Source organism: Homo sapiens, chromosome 4, assembly GCF_000001405.40.
Source record: "Homo sapiens chromosome 4, GRCh38.p14 Primary Assembly".
NCBI lineage: Eukaryota > Metazoa > Chordata > Mammalia > Primates > Hominidae > Homo > Homo sapiens.
This window is the reverse complement of record NC_000004.12, coordinates 58,567,287-58,590,963: the sequence shown is the minus strand read 5'-3', so window position 1 is coordinate 58,590,963 and position 23,677 is coordinate 58,567,287. Positions and strand designations below refer to the sequence as shown.

General features: G+C 35.6%; 1 long non-coding RNA gene across 2 annotated transcripts; it reads right to left on the bottom strand.

Annotated features, from left to right (window-relative positions):
* Positions 1-720: 720 nt before the first annotated feature.
* LOC107986228 (uncharacterized) lies at positions 721-23,677 on the bottom strand. Of its 2 annotated transcripts, XR_001741512.1 has the most exons (4): positions 23,284-23,677; positions 5,970-6,128; positions 2,894-3,030; positions 721-816 (listed from the first exon to the last, which is right to left on the bottom strand). It is a non-coding gene; the product is annotated as an uncharacterized LOC107986228 (long non-coding RNA). The 2 variants fall into 2 exon arrangements; XR_002959838.1 differs by lacking the exon at positions 5,970-6,128.

Below are 23,677 nucleotides of genomic sequence, written 5' to 3'. Positions count from 1 at the left end.
ACATCACCTTTGATCATTTGAACACTTGTTCTTAAAGCCTCTAATGACTCATCATGTGGAAATACTAAGCTCAAACAGACACACATAGAAAGTCCCTGGCAGGCCCAGTTTTTAACCATCTTAGCTAAGTTCCCAGATGAGAGGAAAATCATCTTGACCCATGTAGAGCACCCCACGGACTATACAAATATCACTGAGTGGTCTCTATAAGTGCTACATAGAAAAGAAGCATTACTCAAGCAAATCCTCACCAAATTGTGATGAATAATTTTTTAAAAGGTACTGTTTTAAGTGAGTAAGATTTGGAGGTGGTTTGTTTCACAGCAATCAATAACTGTAACACAGGTCTTCTAGTATATATTATTCAGAATAAAAGCAGACTCTATGATTTATAATATGTAATATTTTGTATGTGAAAGGGAATGGAAATAAAAGTATGCAGACACACAGAGAGCCACACAAAGACATAATAGAGAGTTAAACCAAAAATTATAAATAGCTACATATAAGAGAGGGAATGAACCAGGACAGGAGACAAAAATTAAAATTATATTTTTTTGAATGTATGCTATTTTACAGGTTTTTACCTTGGAATTATGTTTATTCATACACAATCAAAGTTTAACAAAAATAAAAACTGACCTAGTGTGTTTGTATTACTATAACAAAGTGTGTGAAACTAGGTAATTTATAAGAAATAGAAATTTATTTCTCACAGTTCTGAAGGCTTTGTAATCCAAGAACAACACATAGGCAGGTTCCTTGTCTGATAAAGGTCTATATCTGCTTCCAAGATGGTGCCTTGAATGCTGGGTCCTCACGTACCAGAAAAACAGAAGAGCAAAAGGTCAAAAAGGAGTGAACAGCTCACTTGCACCTCTTTTGCAAGGTCACTAATCCATTCATTTGGGATCCACCCACATGACTTAATCACCTCCTAATGGCCCCAGCTCTTAACAACATCACATTGGCAATTAAGTTTCAATATATAAATACAGAAATGGTAAATACGGGAATAGATATAAAATACTATTTAAAATATTTTCAGGGGCAAGGGGAGGGAGAGCATTAGGACAAATACCTAATGCATGAGGGGCTTAAAACCTAGATGATAGGTTGATATGTGCAGCAAACCACCATGGCATATGTATACCTATGTAACAAACCTGCGCATTCCACACACGTATCCCAGAACTTAAAGTAAGATAAAATAAGAAAATCAACAAAACAAAACAAAACAAAACCTTTTTTGGTAAAAGGCAACAGACGAGAGCAAAAACTAAGTATGAATTTTGGGGGACGTATTTATACCATAGCAACAACTTCTAAACATCAACAGTATAAAGACACAAATGGACCTAACTATATAGAGTGTATGTTATAAATTGCGGCTCAAAATAGCATTTTAAACAATTTTGAAATACCGCATTTGTGTGTGTAGTGGAACATATATTATGAAGAGTTGGCTGTAAAAAAATTATTTAACTGGATTAGTGTAACTATTAGAAATGAAATATTATTGTTTGTTAAATATTATAAATTCTGAATATACATATATAATATATATAAATAAATAATTATGTCTTTTAAAATCAAAATTTTCTTTAGAAGACAAAGGAGATATCATTGGAACCTATATAAAGAAAAAACTGAAGACAAAACATTTAAATAAGTATGACAATTTCTTTATTTCATAAAAAATACTAGATCAGAGATCCAATAAAATTAATAAATCCAAAGAATAAATCAAAATAAAATTAAAACACAATGAATCATACTTAAATTGCTAAAAACAAAATAAGGAGAAAATCTGAAAAGGAGCCAAAAAAAGGAAAGGTAAAATTTCATAACAGAATAAAAATTTTTCAATATCTATAGAAAAGAGTTTTTTGTTTGTTTGTTTGTTTGTTTGTTTTTTGAGACAGAGTCTCACTTTGTCGCCAGGCTGGAGTGCAGTGGCACGATCTCGGCTCACTACAACCTCCACCTCCTGGGTTCAAGTGATTCTCCTGCCTCAGTCTCCCGAGTAGCTGGGATTACAGGCACATGCCACCACTCCAGGCTATTTTTTGTATTTTTGGCAGAGACAGGTTTCACCATGTTGGTCAGGCTGGTCTTGACCTCCTGACTTTGTGATCTGCCCCCTTTGGCCTCCCAAAGTGTTGGGATTACAGGCGTGAGCCACCACGCCCAGTAGAGATATTTTCAAAGACAGAAAAGTAAAGTAAGAACAAAAGAAAGAAAGATCCAATTAGAAAAACTGCAAAACAAGAAATTTTTCTGGTTAAAAAAAATGACGCTAGCTAAAAACCTCTGGCTCTATAGGAAGTAATGAAGAATACAGAATGATACCTATGGGAATAGACATAAAATACTATTTAAAAATGTGTTCATAAAAGGCAACTGACTAGAGCAAAAAATTATATAGTTTACAGAATATTTAGAAGAAAATACATGAAAACTTCACAAATGTGGAATTTAGTATAACAAATTAAAGTAAATATAGCTAAATTAAATGTACACATTTTACTCCCTTAAGTAACAACTGAAAAACAATAACAGACATATAGCTGTAATATGGAACTTAGTATAATAGAAATTCAGAAAAGTGGAATGTAGTATAACAGAAATTCAGGTAAATGCTGCTAATGCTCCCTTGAGTAACAACTGAGAAACAAGAACAGACATATAGCAAATAAGCTATGATGGACTTGTGAGTGTTAGTTTGGCCAGGCTGAATCACATTTCACAAATATATTTCTATTTTTCTGGTTAGGGTGGACTACCAAGAAGATTCTCACATGAGGGCGCAAGGGAGGCAATAGCCATTTTGTAGCATACACGTGTGCGCAGACACACACACACACACACTGTTGCTAATCGGCTGACTCACCTCATTGGTGTGAAGCAGCAGCCGTGTCTGCAATTGCTCTACCTTGCCTTGTATCCTCCTTCAGTTTCTCTGACTCATAGGCCAATGTGTGTTGAACTCTTTGATGAAAGACCTGGCTTCTGCAGGATACTCATGTCCTCAAGGTTAGAGACAAAAAGAATGAACAAGGACACGTGTTTCAATTCATTCTTATAGGTTCCAGCTTGTGGGGTTGCAGGCTACTCATGATCTTTCATTCCTGACTGTCCATGGATTTAGCTTGAGCTCCAGCATTAGACTCAAAAACAGCCTTGCAGCTACTGTTCAACCAGCCACCATGAATGTTTAATCCAATTCCCTGTTATCTATCCATCCTACTGGTCCTGCTTCTCTGGTTGAACTCTGACACATAAGCCAGTAGAGGAGATAAATAAAAATACTTTAAAAAAGATCTGTCACTTAGGGTTCAAGGATGGGATGCAGGCTGTGAAAAATCAATCTAACTACTTACGGAAAGGAGTAAGGAAAATAGCAACTGACCTAAATAACTTTAAAAGTATCTTGACCAGTTACTGTAAGCTAAAACAACAAAAAGGCTGTACACAAATACTGTAGTCTAATTATTAATTATATTTCTCACATAGGTACAAGTTAACTATTCTGAAACTATTTTACATGTATACTAGAGTTGTACAAATAAATAAATTTATTTCAGATAATGGGAACCAAATTTTTCTCTGTCAGAGAAAAAAGTTACAAATCAGCACAGGAGGAGGTTAGAATGAGCCCGATGGTACACTTTTAGAGAAGATATCTATCTTGAACTCATGCATATTTTAATACATTGATATATAAAGTAATAATTATAGATATGAGTGTATACATGCTAGAATGAATGTATACATATGTTACTACAAACACATACATTCAACTCATTGAAACTGCAGGATAACGTATGATTTTATTAAAATCATGATTTTTTTATTTCAATAGTTTTGGGGGAACTGGTGGTTGTTGGTTACATAAATAAGTTCTTTATTGGTGATTTCTGAGATTTTGGTGCATCTATCACCTGAGCAGTGTGCACTGTACCCGATATGTAGTCTTTTATTCCTCACCCCCTCCCACACTTCCCCCAACCCCCAAAGTCCATTGTATCATTCTTATGCCTTTGTATTCTCATAGCTTAACTCTCACTTATAAGGGAGAACGCATGATAGTTGTCCATTACTTATTTACTTCACTTAGAATAATGGCCTCTAACTCTATACAAGTTGCTGCAAATGCCGTTATTTCATTCCTTTTTATGGCTGAGTAGTATTCTGTGGTGTAGATATACCACATTTTCTTTATCCACTTGTTGGTTGATGGGCATTTGGGTTGGCTCCATATTTTTGCAATTGTGAATTGTGCTGCTATAAACATGTGTGTGCAAGTGTCTTTTTCATATAATGACTTCTTTTCCTCTGGTTACATACCCAGTAGTAGGATTGCTGGAACAAATGATAATTCTATTTTTATTTCTTTAAGGAATATTCATACTGTTTTCTAACACACGGTATAACCACATTGCTTATACTAGTTTACATTCCTGCTAGCGTGTAGAAGTCTTCCCTTTGCACCACATCCAAGCCAACATCAATTTTTTTTTTTATTTTTTTAATTATGGCCATTCTTACAGGAGTAAGGTGGTATCTCATTGTGGTTTTATTTTACATTTCCCTGATAACTAGTGAAGTTGGTAATTTTTCATACTTATTTTGGTCATTTTTATATCTTATTTTGAGAATTGTCTACTCACATCCTTTGATTCACAAACAGAAAGCTGTGGACTAGTTTTTCTCATATTGTAGATAAATGTTATTGTTTCTCTCGTACCATAGCAATAATTCCCTTAGATAAAAAATGTAAAAATGTAATTATTCTAAAATAGTTGTATAAGTAATTCTTTAGGTTAAACACATGGCTAGCAAAAAAGGTGTTCGCTCTGAATATAGCTATGCATCCACCTTTGAAGTACAGAGCTTTTATAAAGGATCACTCTGACACACTATTATGTAAAATATATCATTTTATCATGAGAAAGGCATATTGATTCAGTTAACAAATCTGTAGTTAGATTTTATATGTCTGTATAGATAACCACTTATTTGACAGTTTTCAATTATTTCCTCACTTAGGATCTTTCAATTTGAAATAAAATGCCTATCACAAAAGATTAGAATTAAAATTTCATAACATAATTTATGTGAAGAACATAATCATAAAACTTACAACCTAAAAATCTCTCCTTGTTAACAAGTAAAGCTAAATCCAAAGTAAAAGCTACCCATTATTGGGTAGCTGGCAAGATGGGCAAATAGGAACAGCTGCAGTCTGCAGCTCCCAGTGAGATCCACGCAGAAGGCGGGTGATTCCTGCATTTCCAACTGAGGTACACAGTTCATCTCATTGGAACTGGTTGGACATTGGGTGCAGCCCAAGGAGGGTGAGCCAAAGGAGGGTGGGGTGTCACCTCACCCAGGAAGCACAAGGGGTTGGGGGATTTCCCATTCCTAGCCAAGGGAAGCTGTGAGAGACTGTACGGGGAGGAACAGTACATTCCGGCCCAGATACTGCATTTTTCCCATGGTCTTCACAAACAAAAGACCAGGAGATTCTCTCCAGTGCCTGGCTCATCAGGTCCCACCCCCACAGAGCCCAGCAAGCTAAGATCCACTGGCTTGAAATTCTTGCTGCTAGCACAGTAGTCTGAGGTTAACCTGGGATGCTAGAGGTTGATGGGAAGAGGGGCAATCACCATTGCTGAGGCTTGAGTAGGCGGTTTTACTTTCACAGTGTAAACAAAGCCACCTGGAAGTTTGAACTGGGTGGAGCCCACCAGAGCCCCCTGGGACAGAGCACCTGGGGGAAGAAATGGCTGGGGGAGCTGCTTCAGCAGAATTAAACATCCCTGCCTGACAGTTCTGAAGAGAGCAGCAGTTCCCCTAGTACAGCATTTAAGCTCTGATAAGGGACAGACTGCCTCCTCAAGTGGGTCCCTGAACTCCCATGTATCCAGACTGGGAGACACCTCCCAGTAGGGGCCAATAGATACCTCATGGAGAAGAGCTCTGGCTGGCAACTTGTGGGTGACCCTCTGGGATGAACCTTCCAGAGGTAGGAACAGGCAGCAATCTTGGTTGTTCTGCAGCCTCTGCTGGTAATACCCAGGCAAACGGGGTCTTGAGTGGACCTCCAGCAAACTCCAGCAGACCTGAAGCAGAGGAGCCTGACTATTAGAAGGAAAACTAGCAAACAGAAAGGAATAGTATCAACATCACCAACATCAAAGACCAAACATCAATCTCCCATGAAGATGGGAGAAACCAGCGCAAAAAAGCTGAAAATTCCAAAAACTAGAATGGCTCTTCTCCTTCAAAGGATCACAACTCCTCACCAGCAAGGGAACAAAACTGGACAGAGAATGAGTTTGATGAGTTGACAAAAGTAGGCTTCAGAAGGTGGGTAATAACAAACTCCTTTGAGGTAAAGGAGCATGTTCTAACCCAATGCAAGGAAGTTAAGAACCTTAAAAAAAGGTTAGAAAAATTGCTAACTAGAATAACCAGCTGAAAGAAGAACATAAATGACCTGATGGAGAAGAAAAACACAGCACAAGAACTTCATGAAGCATATACAAGTATCAATAGCTGAATGCATCAAGCAGAAGAAAGGATATCAGAGAATGAAGGTCAACTCAATGAAATAAAGTGAGAAGACAAGATTAGAGAAAAAAGAGTGAAAAGAAATGAACAAAGCCTCCAAGAAATATGGGACTATGTGAAAAGAACAAATCTGTATTTGATTGGTGTACCTGAAAGTGACGGGGAGAATGGAACCAAGTTGGAAAACACTTTTCAGGATATTATTCAGGAGAATTTCTCCAACCTAGCAAGGCAGGCCAACATTCAAATTCAGGAAATACGGAGAACACCACAAAGATATTCCTCGAGAAGAGCAACCCCAAGATACATAAGATTCACCAAGGTTGAAATAAAGTTAAAAATGGTAAGGGCAGCCAGAGAGAAAGGTCAGGTTACCCACAAAGGGAAGCCCACCAGACTAACAGCAGATCTCTCTGCAGAAACCCTGCAAGCCAGAAGAGAGTGGAGGCCAATATTCGACATTCTTAAAGAAAAACATTATCAAACCAAAATTTCATATCCAGCCAAACTAACCTTCATAAATGAAGGAGAAATAAAATCCTTTACAGACAAGCAAATGCTGAGATTTTGTGACCACCAAGCCTGCCTTACAAGAGCTCCTGAAGGAAGCACTAAACATGGAAAGGAACAACAGTTACCAGCCACTGCAAAAACCAAATTGTAAAGACCATCAATTCTATGAAGAAACTGCATCACTAATAGTCAAAATAACCAGGTAGCTTCATAATGACAGGATCATATTTACACATAAAAATATTAACCTTAAATGTAAACAGGCTAAATGCCCCAATTAAAAGACACAGACTGGCAAATTGGATAATGAGTCAAGAACCATTGGTGTGCTGTATTCAAGAGACCCCTCTCGTGTGCAAAGACATACATAGGCTCAAAATAAAGGGATGGAGAGAGATTTACCATGCAAATGGAAAGAAAAAAAAAAGAAAAGAAAAGCAGACATTGCAATCCTAGTCTCTGATAAAACAAACTTTAAACCAACAAATATCAAAAGAGACAAAGAAGGGCATTACATAATGGTAAAGGATCAATGCAACATGAAGAGCTAACTATCCTAAATATATATATATGCACCCAATAAAGGAACACCCAGATTCATAAAACCAGTTCTTAAGTCTTTACTTACAAAGAGACTTAGAGTCCCACACAATAATAATGGGAGACTTTAACACCCCGCTGTCAATATTAGACAAATCAATGAGACAGAAAATTAACAAGGATATTCAGGACTTGAACTCAGCTGTCGACCAAGCGGACCTAATAGACATCTACAGAACTCTCCACCCAAAATCAACAGAATATACATTCTTCCCAGCAACACATTGCATTTATTCTAAAATTGATGACATAATTTGAAGTATAACAGTCCTCAGCAAATGCAAAAGAAAGAAAATCGAAAGAAACAGTCTCTCAGACCACAGTGCAATCAAATTAGAACTCAGGATTAAGAAATCACTGAAAACCGCACAACTACATGGAAAGTGAACAACTTGCTCTTGAAAAGCTACTGGGTAAATAATGAAATTAAGGCAGAAATAAAGATGTTTTTTGAAACCAATAAGAACAAAGACACAACATACCAAAATCTCTGGGACACATTTAAAGCAGTGTGTAGAGGGAAATTTATAGCACTAAATGCCCACAAGAGAAAGCAGGAAAGATCTAAAATTGACACCCTAACATCACAATTAAAAGAACTAGAGAAGTGAGAGCAAACAAATTCAAAAACTAGCAGAAGACAAGAAGCAACTAAGATCAGAGAAGAACTGAAGGAAATCGGGACATGAAAAACCATTAAAAAAATCAATGAATCCAGGAGCTGGTTTTTTGAAAAGATTAACAAAATAGACCACTAGCCAGGCTAATAAAGAAGAGAAGAATCAAATAGATGCAATAAAAAATAATAAAGGGGGTATCACTACCAATCCCACAGAAATACAAACTACCATCAGAGAATACTATAAACACTTCTATGCAAATAAACTGGAAAATCTAGAAGAAATGGACAAATTCTGGACACATAAACACTCCCGAGACTAAACCAGGAAGAAGTAGAATCCCTGAATAGTCCAATAACAAGTTCTGAAATTGAGGTAGTAATTAACAGCCTACCAACCAAAAAACGTCCAGGACCAGATGAATTCACAGCTGAATTCTACCAGAGGTACAAAGAGGAGCTGGTACCATTACTTCCAAAATTATTCCAAACAATAGAAAAACAGGGAATCTTCCCTAACTCATTTTATGGGGCCAGCATCATCCTGATACCAAAACCTGGCAGAGACACAACAAAAAGAAGAAAATTTTAGGCCAATATCCATGATGAACATCAATGTAAATCTCATCAATAAAATACTGACAAACCGAATCCAGTAGCACATCAAAAAGCTTGTCCACCACGATCAAGTTGGCTTCATCCCTGGGATGCAAGGCTGGTTCAACATATGCAAATCAATAAACGTAATCCATCACATAAACGGAACCAATGACAAAACCCACGTGATTATCTCAATAGAGGCAGAAAAGGCCTTTGACAAAATTCAACACCTATTAATGCAAAAAACTCTCAATAAACTAGGTATTGATGGAATGTATCTAAAAATAATAAGAGCTATTTATGACAAACCCACAGCCAACATCATACTGAATGGGCAAAAACTGGAAGCATTCCCTTTGAAAACTGGCACAAGACAAGGATGCTTTCTCTTACCACTCCTATTCAACATAGTATTGGAAGTTCTGGCCAGGGCAGTCAGGCAAGAGAAAGACATAAAGGGTATTCAATTAGGAAAAAAGGAAGTCAAATTGTCTCTGTTTGCAGATAACATGATTGTATATTTAGAAAACCCCATTGTCTCAGCCCAAAATCTCCTTAAGCTGATAAGCAGCTTCAGCAAAGTCTCAGGATACAAAATCAATGTGCAAAAATCTCAAAAATTCCTATACACCAATAACAGACAAACAGAGCCAAATCATGAGTGAACTCCCATTCACAATTGCTACTAAGATAATAAAATACCTAGGAATACAACTTACAATGGATATGAATGACCTCTTCAAGGAGAACTACAAATCACTGCTCAAGGAAATAAGAGAGGACATAAACAAATGGAAAAACGTTCCATGCTCATGGGTAGGAAGAATCAATATCTTGAAAATGGCCACACTGCCCAAAGTAATTTATAGATTCAATGCCATCCCCATCAAGCTACCATTGACTTTCTTCACAGAATTGGAAGAAGCTACTATAAATTTCATATGGAACCAAAAAGAGCCCACATAGCCAAGCAAATCCTAAGCAAAAAGAACAAAGCTGACTTTAAAACTATACTACAAGGCTAAAGTCACCAAAACAGCATGGTACTGGTACCAAAACAGATATACAGACCAATGGAACAGAGCAGAATAGAGCCCTCAGAAATAACACCACACATCTACAACCATCTGATCTTTGACAAACCTGACAAAAAGAAGCAATGGGGAAATGATTCCCTATTTAATAAATGGTGTCAGGAAAACTGGCTAGCCATATGCAAAAAGCTGAAACTAGATCCATTCCTTACATACAAAAATTAACTCAAGATGCATTAAAGACTTAAATGTAAGACCAAAAGCCATAAAAATTTTAGAAGAAAATCTAGGCAATACCATTCAGGACACAGGCATTGGCAAAGACTTCATGACTAAAACACCAAAAGCAATGACAACAAAAGACAAAATAGACAAATGGGATCTAATTAAACTAAAGAGCTTCTGCACAGCAAAAAAAAAAAAAAAAAAAAAAAACTATCATCAGAGTGAACAGGTAACTTACAGAATGGGGAAAAATTTTTGCAATCCATCCATCTGACAAAGGGCTAATATCCAGAATCCACAAAGAACTTAAACAAATTTACAAGAAAAAAAAAAAACCATCAAAAAGTGGGCAAAGGATATGAATAGATGCTTCTCAAAAGAAGACATGTATGCGGCCAACAAACATGAAAAAATGCTCATCATCGCAGGTCATTAAAGAAACGCAAATCAAAACCACAGTGAGACGTCATCTCATGGCAGTTAGAATGACGATCATTAAAAAGTCAGAAAACAGCAGATGCTTGAGAGGACGTGGAGAAACAGGAATGCTTTTATACTGTTGATGGGAGTGTGAATTAGTTCAACCATGGTGGAAGACAGTGTGGCAATTCCTCAAGGATCTAGAACCAGTAATACCATTTGACCCAGCAATCCTATTATTGGGTATTTACCCAACGGATTATAATTTATTCTACTATAAAGACTCATGCACAAGTATGTTTATTGCAGCACTGTTCACAATAGCAAAGACTTGGAACCAACCCATATGCTCATCAATTATAGACTGGATAAAGAAAATGTGGCACACCATGGAATACAATGCAGCCATAAAAAAGGATGAGTTCATGTCCTTTGCAAGGACATGGATGAAGCTGAAAACCATCATTCTCAGCAAACTAACACAAGAACAGAAATCCAAACACCACATGTTCTCACTCATAAGTGGGAGTTGAACAATGAGAACACATGGACACAGGTAGGGGAACATCACACACCAGGGTCTGTCAGGGAGTTGGGGGCAGGGGGATGGATAGCATTAGGAGAAATACCTAATGTAGATGACAGGTTGATTGGTGCAGCAAACCCCATGGCACATGTATACCTATGTAACAAATCTGCATGTTTTGCACATGTATCTCAGAACTTAAAATATAATAAAAAATTAAATAAATAAATAAGACATTTATTGGTCATTTACTATTCATAGAGATCATTTTGGGTGTTAGGTATATTAAGAATTTTAAAAATGCCTATTTTTGAGGAAATATTAATCTTGTTGAAGAGATAACTCTTACACATAGAAAAGTAAGTAACAATTTAATATTAACAATTGTTCCTCAGCATCCACCAGCTATTAGTTCCAGAACAACTGTGGATACCAAAATCCCCTGATGCTAAGGTCCTTATTTAAAATAGGGTAGTATTTGCATATAGCTCATGCACATTCTGCCACCTACCTTAAGTCATCTCTAGATTAGTTATAATTTCTAATCAAATGTAAATACTATGTAAATACCTGTTATACTGTATTGATTTAAAATTTGTATTAGTTTTAATGTTGTATTGTGTTTTTATCGTATTTTTAAACATATTTTCCATCTGCATTTCGTTGAATCTGCAGATGCAGAACCCACAGACAGAGAGGGTCGCCTGCACTTGCTGACTATACCGAGAGAAGTAGACTGGATATGCACCATGTAGGACTTAGAGAAAATTGTGATCATACAGGCGAGATATTCCCTTCGTATTTGAAAATGACTTTATTGATCCATAAATTGGATGTTGGTCAGCCTTTAAATAAACTTTCCACTTGTGGCAATAGTTTGAAAATCAATCAATTGAATTCACTTTTCCACAGTTTATTTTCCAATAGTGTATTTCCTTCATTTAAAAAAAGTTATGGAGTAAAGTATTGGAACATAGAAAAAAAATCGGTATGAATTTGTACTTAAAGACTTGTCTTTTTCAATACTATAAGGATGCTAACTTATTCGTGAGTACAGACATACCTCATTTTATTAAGTTTTGCTTTATTACCCTTTGCAGATAATGTGGTTTTTATACATTGAAGGTTTGTGACAATCCTGCATCAAGCAAGTCTATTGAAGCCATTTTTCCAACAGCATGTGCTCACTTTGTTACAAATTTTAGCAATATTTTTAAAGTATGTGCATTAGTTTTTAAGACATGATGCTATTGCACACCTAATAGACTACACTATAGTATAAACATAATTTGTATATGAACTAGGGAACAAAAAATATAGTGTGACTCGTTTTATTGCAATATTCACTTTATTGCGGTGGTCTGGAACCCAACCTGCAATACTTGTGAGGTTGGCCTGTAAGTGAATTTTTAGGGATGTAAATGAACCAAAAGTCACTTAGCCATATATCATAGCCACCTAGGAATCCTTCGTATGTCATTCCAGCCTATGAATAAATATCTTTATTTACTGGGGATTATACATTTCAGAAATTCAGTCTGATTCTGTCTAACGAAAAACAATCAAGTTAGAGATAACAAAAACATATGCCATTATGGCAGCGTAGACATTGAAAGATTTCATTCATTGGTAGCTTGATGGGGATGGCATTGAATCTGTAAATTACCTTGGGCAGTATGGCCATTTTCACGATATTGATTCTTCCTACCCATGAGCATGGAATGTTCTTCCATTTGTTTGTGTCCTCTTTTATTTCCTTGAGCAGTGGTTTGTAGTTCTCCTTGAAGAGGTCCTTCACATCCCTTGTAAGTTGGATTCCTAGGTATTTTATTCTCTTTGAAGCAATTGTGAATGGGAGTTCACCCATGATTTGGCTCTCTGTTTGTCTGTTGTTGGTGTATAAGAATGCTTGTGATTTTTGTACATTGATTTTGTATCCTGAGACTTTGCTGAAGTTGCTTATCAGCTTAAGGAGATTTTGGGCTGAGACGATGGGGTTTTCTAGATAAACAATCATGTCGTCTGACTTTCTTCACAGAATTGGAAAAAACTACTTTAAAGTTCATATGGAACCAAAAAAGAGCCCGCATTGCCAAGTCAATCCTAAGCCAAAAGAACAAAGCTGGAGGCATCACACTACCTGACTTCAAACTATACTACAAGGCTACAGTAACCAAAACAGCATGGTACTGGTACCAAAACAGAGATATAGATCAATGGAACAGCCCTCAGAAATAATGCTGCATATCTACAACTATCTGATCTTTGACAAACCTGAGAAAAACAAGCAATGGGGAAAGGATTCCCTATTTAATAAATGGTGCTGGGAAAACTGGCTAGCCATATGTAGAAAGCTGAAACTGGATCCCTTCCTTACACCTTATACAAAAATCAATTCAAGATGGATTAAAGATTTAAACGTTAGACCTAAAACCATAAAAACCCTAGAAGAAAACCTAGGCATTACCATTCAGGACATAGGCGTGGGCAAGGACTTCATGTCCAAAACACCAAAAGCAATGGCAACAAAAGCCAAAATTGACAAATGGGATCTAATTAAACTAAAGAGCTTCTGCACAGCAAAAGAAACTACCATGAGAGTGAACAGGCAACCTACAACATGGGAGAAAATTTTCGCAACCTACTCATCTGACAAAGGGCTAATATCCAGAATCTACAATGAACTCAAACAAATTTACAAGAAAAAAACAAACAACCCCATCAAAAAGTGGGCGAAGGACATGAACAGACACTTCTCAAAAGAAGACATTTATGCAGCCAAAAAACACATGAAGAAATGCTCATCATCACTGGCCATCAGAGAAATGCAAATCAAAACCACTATGAGATATCATCTCACACCAGTTAGAATGGCAATCATTAAAAAGTCAGGAAACAACAGGTGCTGGAGAGGATGTGGAGAAATAGGAACACTTTTACACTGTTGGTGGGACTGTAAACTAGTTCAACCATTGTGGAAGTCAGTGTGGCCATTCCTGAGGGATCTAGAACTAGAATTACTGTTTGACCCAGCCATCCCATTACTGGGTATATACCCAAAGGACTATAAATCATGCTGCTATAAAGACACATGCACACGTATGTTTATTGCGGCACTATTCACAATAGCAAAGACTTGGAACCAACCCAAATGTCCAACAATGATAGACTGGATTAAGAAAATGTGGCACATATACACCATGGAATACTATGCAGCCATAAAAAATGATGAGTTCATATCCTTTGTAGGGACATGGATGAAATTGGAAACCATCATTCTCAGTAAACTATCGCAAGAACAAAAGACCAAACACCGCATATTCTCACTCATAGGTGGGAATTGAACAATGAGATCACATGGACACAGGAAGGGGAATATCACACTCTGGGGACTGTGGTGGGTTCGGGGGAGGGGGGAGGGATAGCATTGGGAGATATACCTAATGCTAGATGACACATTAGTGGGTGCAGCGCACCAGCATGGCACATGTATACATATGTAACTAACCTGCACAATGTGCACATGTACCCTAAAACTTAGAGTATAATAAAAAAAAAAAAAAAAAAAGATTTCATTCACTTTATATTCTGCGGGAGACTATATGACAAATCAAATACCATGGCAGGAACAAAGAGCTTGGCTAAAATTATATAACCATTCCTCTATATTTAATTAAAATCCAAGTTCTAATTTAGGAATGCAATACTTTAGTTCTCTTTTAGTAGTTGTGTATCTGCCTAACATATTCTTGTGCACCTGCAGCCATTGCTCAGTCAACCAGATTGATATAGGTATAACCTGGCATTCTGACCTCTCACTCTCCTTAGCCACAACACCTATTGCCTCACTTTTGCTACAAGACTTTTCAAATGAACCTATGCAGGATGCGTGGGAGAATTAGACAACCTGGAAGTGACAGTGTTAGAACACTCTAGAGCAACTCTTGTCCACTGGGAATGGGGTGTGGGGGAAAATGGTCACTTTTTTCCTCCCTTCAAAGGACAATTTTGATTTTCTTTCTATATAGCAAAACCCAGGGGGTTCCAGGAACATCAAGTGCCAAATGTTTACAGTGGAGATCACCTTAATTGTATAGCCTTGTATTGCCTTTATCTCCTTGCCTCTTTTATACTTGTAATTCACTTCCTTTGGTGTCATGTCCCAAAATAAACTATCTGAATACTAGTATTGATTCCAGGTTCTGCTTCCCAGCTGGAACACAAGCTAAGACATTGGCCTTGAAGTTTCTTTCTTTTTTTAAACAAATTATGGTTAAATATTTTATGAAGTAATTTAATATTCCATATATGCACAAATCATTTTAATTTTGCCTGGAGTCATCTGTCCATTCTATACTTTTAGAAGTTAATTATTTTCGGTTTTATGAGGCAGTAAACTGATCATTACTACATATGAAGTACGATCGGTAATGTTAGCCTGCAGATTAATAGAAGTTATATTTTCATTTTTTCCTGTCAGCAGAATAAAAGATATAAAAGATAGCTAACATTCATGATAAATGGGGACTGGGTATATGAGAAAAGAATGTTTTCTCTGACAAAGGCAGGAATAGGACAGAGAGAGAAGAAAGATCAACTGTGGATACTCAACATTTTTCTTTTTGAGAAATAATAGCATGTTCACATTTATGATTTCCTATAGTTTGATAACAGATGTTAGGTTCTTTTCACCCCTCTGTGCTTCAATATTCAGAATTATCTTTTTATTCATTATTTTATTTTGGTACATTATACAAATATTTGGTGGGCAAGATAAATTTTATATTGCTCCATGCTTTTTTGTTTCAAAAAGGAAAACACTGAAGCATATGTAATAGAATCTGTAAACATATCAAATAACCATAAATGTTTTTTTGGTGACATATATTTAGATATAGAAGTTCTCTAATTTGAAATGACTAGTGATATGGTTTTTCTAAAATATAACTATGCACTGAAATAATGAAATAACAGTGAAACAAATTAAGCTTCTATAAAAGCAAAAAAATTATCAAAGAACATTTAACATAAGAAAATACATTTTTTAGACAAAACCTTATTTTGTTTAGACCTGTCAGCTGGTGAACTTAAAGTTGTGAGGTGGCAGATTATTTTCTAAAGTACTGCGACCATTGAAGATTTATTCAAATTCATGAGCCACTTCATTTTTGCTAAATCTAAAATTCAACTCTAATACTGAGTGTCCTTCTTCTCATATTGTACCCAGAATTATAAAACCAATTCATTCATTACTGATTCATGATACGTCCTGTGCACTAGACAGAAATACACTAAAAGTCTATCTTCATAATTAACACATTATTTCAGCATTCCAGGAGATATCTATCTATTCACATCAAATCATCCATGTATATATTTGTAAATTTTGAGCATTTAAAATTGTCATAGATTAATGTTCATTCTAGGACAGATTTGTTCATAAAGTGCCTTCATTCAGCCTATTACAAATCCTAGTAAAAGTCAACACATATTTGTTCATGAGAAATGAATGAGTTAAAGAGTGAGGTAGAGTAGAGTTTTCAAGTATTTTCTTTCGTTTCCTTTTTGGATATGTCTCTGAGTTGAATAACTTAATTTAACTAGGTTTTTTCCAATGTCAATTGCTTCAGCCACAATCACATAATAAAATATAGATCCCATGTTAGGGGATAATTTTAATTTAAATTGAATCATTTAGAATGATTCTCATTGCATTATGTAGGCCCCAATACTCATGGAATTGTTGATTTTGGGCAGTCTAGCTTTAATAAACATACTTGTCTGTAAGCATTTACTTGGTAGACAAAATAATGCCATGGCTTTTATTTCAAGAAGGACAGTAAAAACTGATATGTGTAAAACTGACATTGCCTTTTAGACTTTGGTGCAATTTCAAGTACAATCTCTACTTTTCCTCAAATGGAATATGGCATAAGAATCTGAAATGAGTTTAATTGAATACAATCTGACATGGGTCCAGAAACTAAAATACAGCCCACTTGAAGTAGCTAGTTCAAGACTATCAATACTATATATATTCAAGTCCATGTTTCAGGACAACCAGAAATGATCTAATGCCAATCTTTCCACATTTTCACATTTTACATTATACTAACAAAAATATTTGCAAAGTAATCTTGATATTTGCTATGAAACTTACAATATTTGGAAATTTTCCATATAATTATTAGAAAATTAACTTAAATTATTTCTTCTAACAAAATTTCATCCACTATTTTTCTTTGAAAATACAAACTCATGTACTCTTCTTCCATGATGTCCTTTTTAACTCATTATTGTTTTTTATTCATATAAAATTATCAATTTCTAATTAAAATGAGAGATACCCAGAAAATTTTAAAATGATATGTAAATATAATTAAAATATGCATTTTATATTTTCTCTATTTCCAAATATTTATTTTCCTCATTTCATTTACTATAAAATATAATATTTTCCCTGTAGGTAAAATTTTTAAAGTTACTCAAGGCACCCAAAGGAGTTTTACATATTTTTGGTAAAATAATGAAGCTAATATAATTCAATGAATTATTTTTCACTTTAAAAAATTATCAGTATATAGTTGTGCTATAAATGAAAATGTAACTTTATTGTAGGAGCTTCAGGAGGAAAAATATCACATGTTAATTTGAGTCTACTAACATTTCAACATTACATGTTCTTTAACTTGCAATTTTGCATATGTACATGTGCATATAGTAGAAACTGTATAAAATTAAAGGGAAAAAACCTAAATAACTACCTGTCATCACAACACCTAGAGTTTACTTTTATAATATTTTTTTTCCAGTCTCTGTTTCATCTTTCCATATTATATGTATTTTAATTTTCAATTTATATACTATATATTTTTAAAAAGCGAAATATAGAAGATTAAATATTGTCCAGGCGCAGTGACTAACTAATACCTGTAATCTCAGCACTTTGGGAGGTCCAGGAGGGTGGATCACCTGAGGTCAGGAGTTCCAGACCAGCCTGACCAACATGGAGAAACCCCGTCTCTACTAAAAACACAAAATTAGCCGGGCATGGTGGCACATGCCTGTAATCCCTGCTACTCGGAGGACTGAGGCAGGAGAATCACTTGAACCCAGGAGGCGGAGGTTGCAATGAGCTGAGATGGCGCCATTGCACTCCAGCCTGGGCAACAAGAGTGAAAGTCCATCTCAAAAAAAAAAAAAAAAAAAAAAAAAAAAGATTAAATATCAATTAAATATAACAAATATTTAAAAATATAAAATTTTATAATCACATAATTTCAAATTTGCAGAGGAATTGTAATAATGTTATAAGGAAATGTTGCGTATCCTTAATTAAGACTCATGTGTTGCTATAATTTAGCATATTCACTTTATCATCATCCCTCCTCTCTTTTTCTTGCCCTCTTCTTTAGATAGATAGATAGATAGATAGATAGATAGATAGATAGATAGACAGATAGACAGATAGATAGAGACGTAAAGACACAGAGACATAGATATATGGATATACATAATTTTCTTGTTGAGCCATTTGAGAGTAAATTACGATATCATGCTTCTTTATCTTAAGTACTCCAGTGTTAAGTTACTGAGAACAATTGAATTCTATTATATAGCTGCAGTGTAATTATTAAAATAAAAATATTAATAGCGTGTTATTATGTAATCTATAATACATTATTAAAATTTTATTTGTTGTCCTTTACAACTAATTTATGTCCTTTACAACTATTTTATTTTCCTGCCCAGAATCAACTCCTTTGTCACTCATTGCGTTTGGCTCTTATTTCTCTTTAGTCAGTTAAGTCCAAGTTCAATTTAATCTCAGGTTAGTTTCAACTGAGTGCTTTATTTTGAATATAACTTTCATATTTTAATGCATATCTCAAGGAAATATTTACTGCAAACTAGACATATTGGATAGTATGTTGTGGATACTCTGTGTTCTGCTAAAATCCATGCAAGTGCTTTGATTTTTTTCTTAATTTTCTAGTCATTCACTTGGCTCAGCACAACTCTGTCTTCCTGTCAACCTGACACACTCTCAGGTTATCCCATGTTCATGACCTTTAAATTTCCTTCATTTGAGGGGAAGAAGCACTTGCTTCTAATTAATAGAAGATTGCAAAGGAGATGGGTTACCACTTATTTGTTTATGTTACATTACATGGCAAAGGGAATGGAATGCCACCCCCATTATCATGTTATATTATATAAAACTATATTAACAGACTGAGGAGGCACTCTGTTGCTGGTCTTGAAAAAGAAAATTGCATCTTCCTATAAAGTGGAGAGGCAGAAGGCTACTAGAATCTGAGAGGAACTATGGGAAAATAAATTCTGTCGACAGTCAGTGATCTTGGAAAAGAATCCAAATCCTCAGTTGAGACCCTGGCTCCAGCTGATTCCTTGATTGCAGAGGACCTAGCTAAGACCCGTTCAGACTTCTGAGTTTTGAAAACTGTGAGATAATTATGTGTTGTTTGAAGCCACAATGTTTTGGATTCTTTTTTTGTGCAGCAGCAGAAAATTAACACACTTCTTCATGGTAGGTTACAATAAAAAATTCAGATAAGTGATTTGAGTGAGCATTGTATTTACATATAGGTATGTGCTTAGAAAATAAGTTTTTGGAAAAAGAAGCCTCAGTAATGGTGTTTCCCATATCATGACCAAAATTTTTTTCTAAAATCCATACAGTTTACTAATGACGACAATGGAAAAATACATTCACACACCATACACAGAGAGATACAAACAAGTAATATTTCAGATTAGCTCCTAGTTGGGATAGAAATACTTTTTTAAAATATTAATCATTGAATGTCCCTAATCCAAAAATATATCTGTAAAATGTATGTAGGCAGAAGACCCTAAATCTTTATACAACTTTAATGATACAGGCCCACATGGCAATTGCAAAAAATGAATAAGATTTGGCATCCTGAAATTGTCCAAGTATCCTCTAGAGGTAGGTGTCAGTAGCTACTATTATCTATGATATCCTTGTTTTGCCTCCTAAGGTGCAGTGTTAGTCTGTTGTCACACTGCTAGAAAGAACTATCTGAGACTGGGTAATTTATGAAGAAAAGAGGTTTAATTGACTCACAGTTCCACAGGCTGTACAGGAAACATGGTTGGGGAGACCTCAGGAAACTTAACAATCATAGAAGGGTGAAGGGGAAGCAAGTACCTTCTTCACATGGTGAAGTGAGAGAGAGAGAATGAGACAGAGAGAGAGCAAGCACAAAGGGGGAAGTGCTACACACTTGTATACAGCCAGATCTCATGAGAACACACTCACAATCATGAGAATAGCAAAAGGGAGATCTGCCCTCACAATTCAATCACCACCCACAAGGTCCCTCCCCCAACATTGGGAATTACAATTCTACATGAGATTTGAGTGGGGGCACAGAGCCAAACCATGCTTTGGGTTTCCCTAGAGACTCCTTCCTATAAAGTCTGAGCCTTGCAGTTATTTTCAGCTATAATCCCTTATTACTATACAGAAGCCCTACTGATGTAATAGTAAGATGTATGGGGACGGGCACTGTTCTATAATTTTATGATTAAGTCTTAGGCTCTGTGAGCTTGTGCGCCTGAGCTGTGATATTTATTAGTACTTGTCAGCTTACTCTCCTCCTCAATCCTCAGCTAAGAGGCAATTGGAGTTGGGTATTTCTCTTTCCCCACTTTAAAGGCTAGAAGGTATTTGCGTTGGGTACTTCCTTTTCTACACATAGCTTAGGCTTTGGTAAAGTGCACATTGCTTAGCTCTGGTAAAATAGCAGGATTTTGTTAAAGAGATAGACTGTTCTGGGTTTATTTCAAATGGTAACTTTTCCCCACCCCTTGAAGGAAGCATGAGGGGAATTTTCTCTGATCTTCACTCTGAGAACTTGATACTGCAGGTAAAGCTCACAAAAATGTGGGGACTCTCTGAAGGCTCAGCCTCCTGGGGGGTTATTTTTTCATCTAGTCCACTCTTAGTCTCTGGTACTTGGTCAATTAAATTTCATGTATTCCAATTCCATGCTGACTCAACCAGAAGATTCTGCTCCCAGTAAGCTTTGATTATCTGTATTTGCTTCTCTTTTCAGTTTTCATTATGGTGGTCTTCCCTGTGACCTCAATTTTCTGAGTAATGTAAGTAGAATTGTTGGTTTTCAGATTGTTCTGCTTTTTTGTAAGTACTGAATAGTAGTTATGAAAAGTTACTGCCCTCTTAGGTGTTATAGTCAATACTACATGAATTAGAGTCAATTTAGACCTTGCAAATGAACCTGTGACAAGTAGCCTTGTGAAGGGTGATAGTCAAATAAAAATAATAATAATAAGTTGTTCTTGTTTAGGCAGGAAATCCACAAATTCACTGACACATGCATCTATTATTATTTCCAATCTCATAATGGGCCTGGGCTTCCAAAGGCTGACTAAATCCTACTATAGGCCATTCTGCAAGGTAAAATAAATGTGCAAATAACTAACTGGTCTGACAACAGTATGAACATAATAAAATAGTGATACAAACCTTGATGATGATAAGATTTCAAGGCTAATTGTCATAGGTACATTTGCAAGGTCTAAATTGACTCTGATTTATGAACTATTGAATATAACATCTATGAAGGCAGTAAATGTTTAAAACTACTATTCAGTACTTAGAAGATATCATTAAGTGATCTCATATTAGATGTTCAGTAAATATTTACTAAATTTAAAATAGTGGATGTTCTTTTTTGGATTTATTTTCTAGCCTTATGGACTCCTTATCTTATGTTAACTTATTTTATAGTGGCAGATACTAGGATTTTTATTATATTTTGACTCAGATTAAGATAATCTATACAGTCATGTAGACCTAAATTCTGAAATTTCTATGAAATGTATATATTGTTTGTCAAATTGCCGTTTTTTTTTTCTGAGTAAGATAGTGTTATTATTACTGATACCTTGAGGGCCACATCTTACATGGTTATCAATAGGATAAGGAATAAGGCATCATTGAACTATATAATTTGTCAATCAAGAATTAGAAAAGTCCTAATATCAAAAGAGTGTTATTATGGTACCCATATACCCTTGAGCAAAGCCTGGTATTTTTAATAAATGCACGTTAAATGGAATTCAAGTCCTTCCAATCTGAGCCATTAAATGTGGCCACTGTAGACTTGTGATGCATAGAGAATTAGTACTGATATGTGGGACAGTTAATAATATAAACTGGGTTAGGAGAACAAAAGTGAACTGAGTCTATGACTGATCACTCTACTTAGTGATGCTTGAATAGAAGGCCAGCGTATGTTCAGGCTTTTCCAGGCAGCTTTACAGTGATAGTTCCCAGATACAATTAAATGGCGTTATTTTGTAAGAAAGAAAATAGTCTTCCTTTCCAGGTTCTAAATATGTAATAAATTGGGGTTATTCAGGCGAAGTGAATTAGCCCTAGACTTGAGGGTGATAAAAATTAACAGTTATAGAAGCCACGCAGGAAAATAATAAAATAAAAATAAAGTTTTCAGTTGCAGGCTCATTGTTTATTCCCCACATCTCCATTTAGCTGACATGCTAAATTGCATAGTTGTTTAGTGACTAATTCTGCTCTTTGTTTTATTGTTTTATGGAGTTAATTTATACATTTGATCAGAGGTTTTATTTTTAATTTTAAAATTTTAGTGCATTATTGGTCATGAAATCCTACATTTTAGGTTAATCAATGTGTGTTGTCATTAAGTTATGTCTTCACATTATGTAAACAAGTGTACATATGATGATTTTTATTTACAAAATATATATTTGATTTGTCTTTTTTCCCCCAATTTGTGATCACCTATCCTGTGAACCATGTAGTTTTGGTTCGCATCCAGCAGATTATGTACCTCAACTGGTACCTCCCCCTTGTGTCATAAGACAGTTTTAGGCTTCCTTATTTGTATTTATCAGTCATTTTATTGCAGGCATGGTAAAATAAATTTTGGGGTCTAGGCCATTCATTGACTAGACTGCTATCTGTAATTTATCAGGTTACTTGGACCTGTCTGCCATCATCAAGATATATGGCTGGGGAGATAGCACCATAAAGGAAACAATTATTGAGAAGATAAATGACCTGTGAGAGGGCTACAAGTCTCTAGAGTGTGTGAGGAAAGGCAGAAAGTTACCTTGGCCAAAGATTTTGCTTGCATCCATATATCCAGTTAGTTTCGGGCCCAGGAACAGTGTATTTTCACTGATAGCTTCCCCGTCTTTCAATTTCATTCTTGTTCTCTTAGTCAATACTCCATAGAAAGTGCCTCTGGCCCCACACTTATTATTCCTTTGGCCTACTGCAGAAATTAGAATATATTTTGAATTTTAAAAGTGGCATTCATTGAGCAACAGCTTTATCTAGAAATTATCCAAGTGTCTCAGAGTGTTTTCTGAGTTTAAGACTTAGTGGCAAAAAATGGTGGCATATGTGAAATCTTTAAACAAATATAAAGGTAAATCATGATTTGTCATGTAGGCTTGGATAACTCAATCTTCAATCAAGAAAAAATAGACAAAACAAAAAAG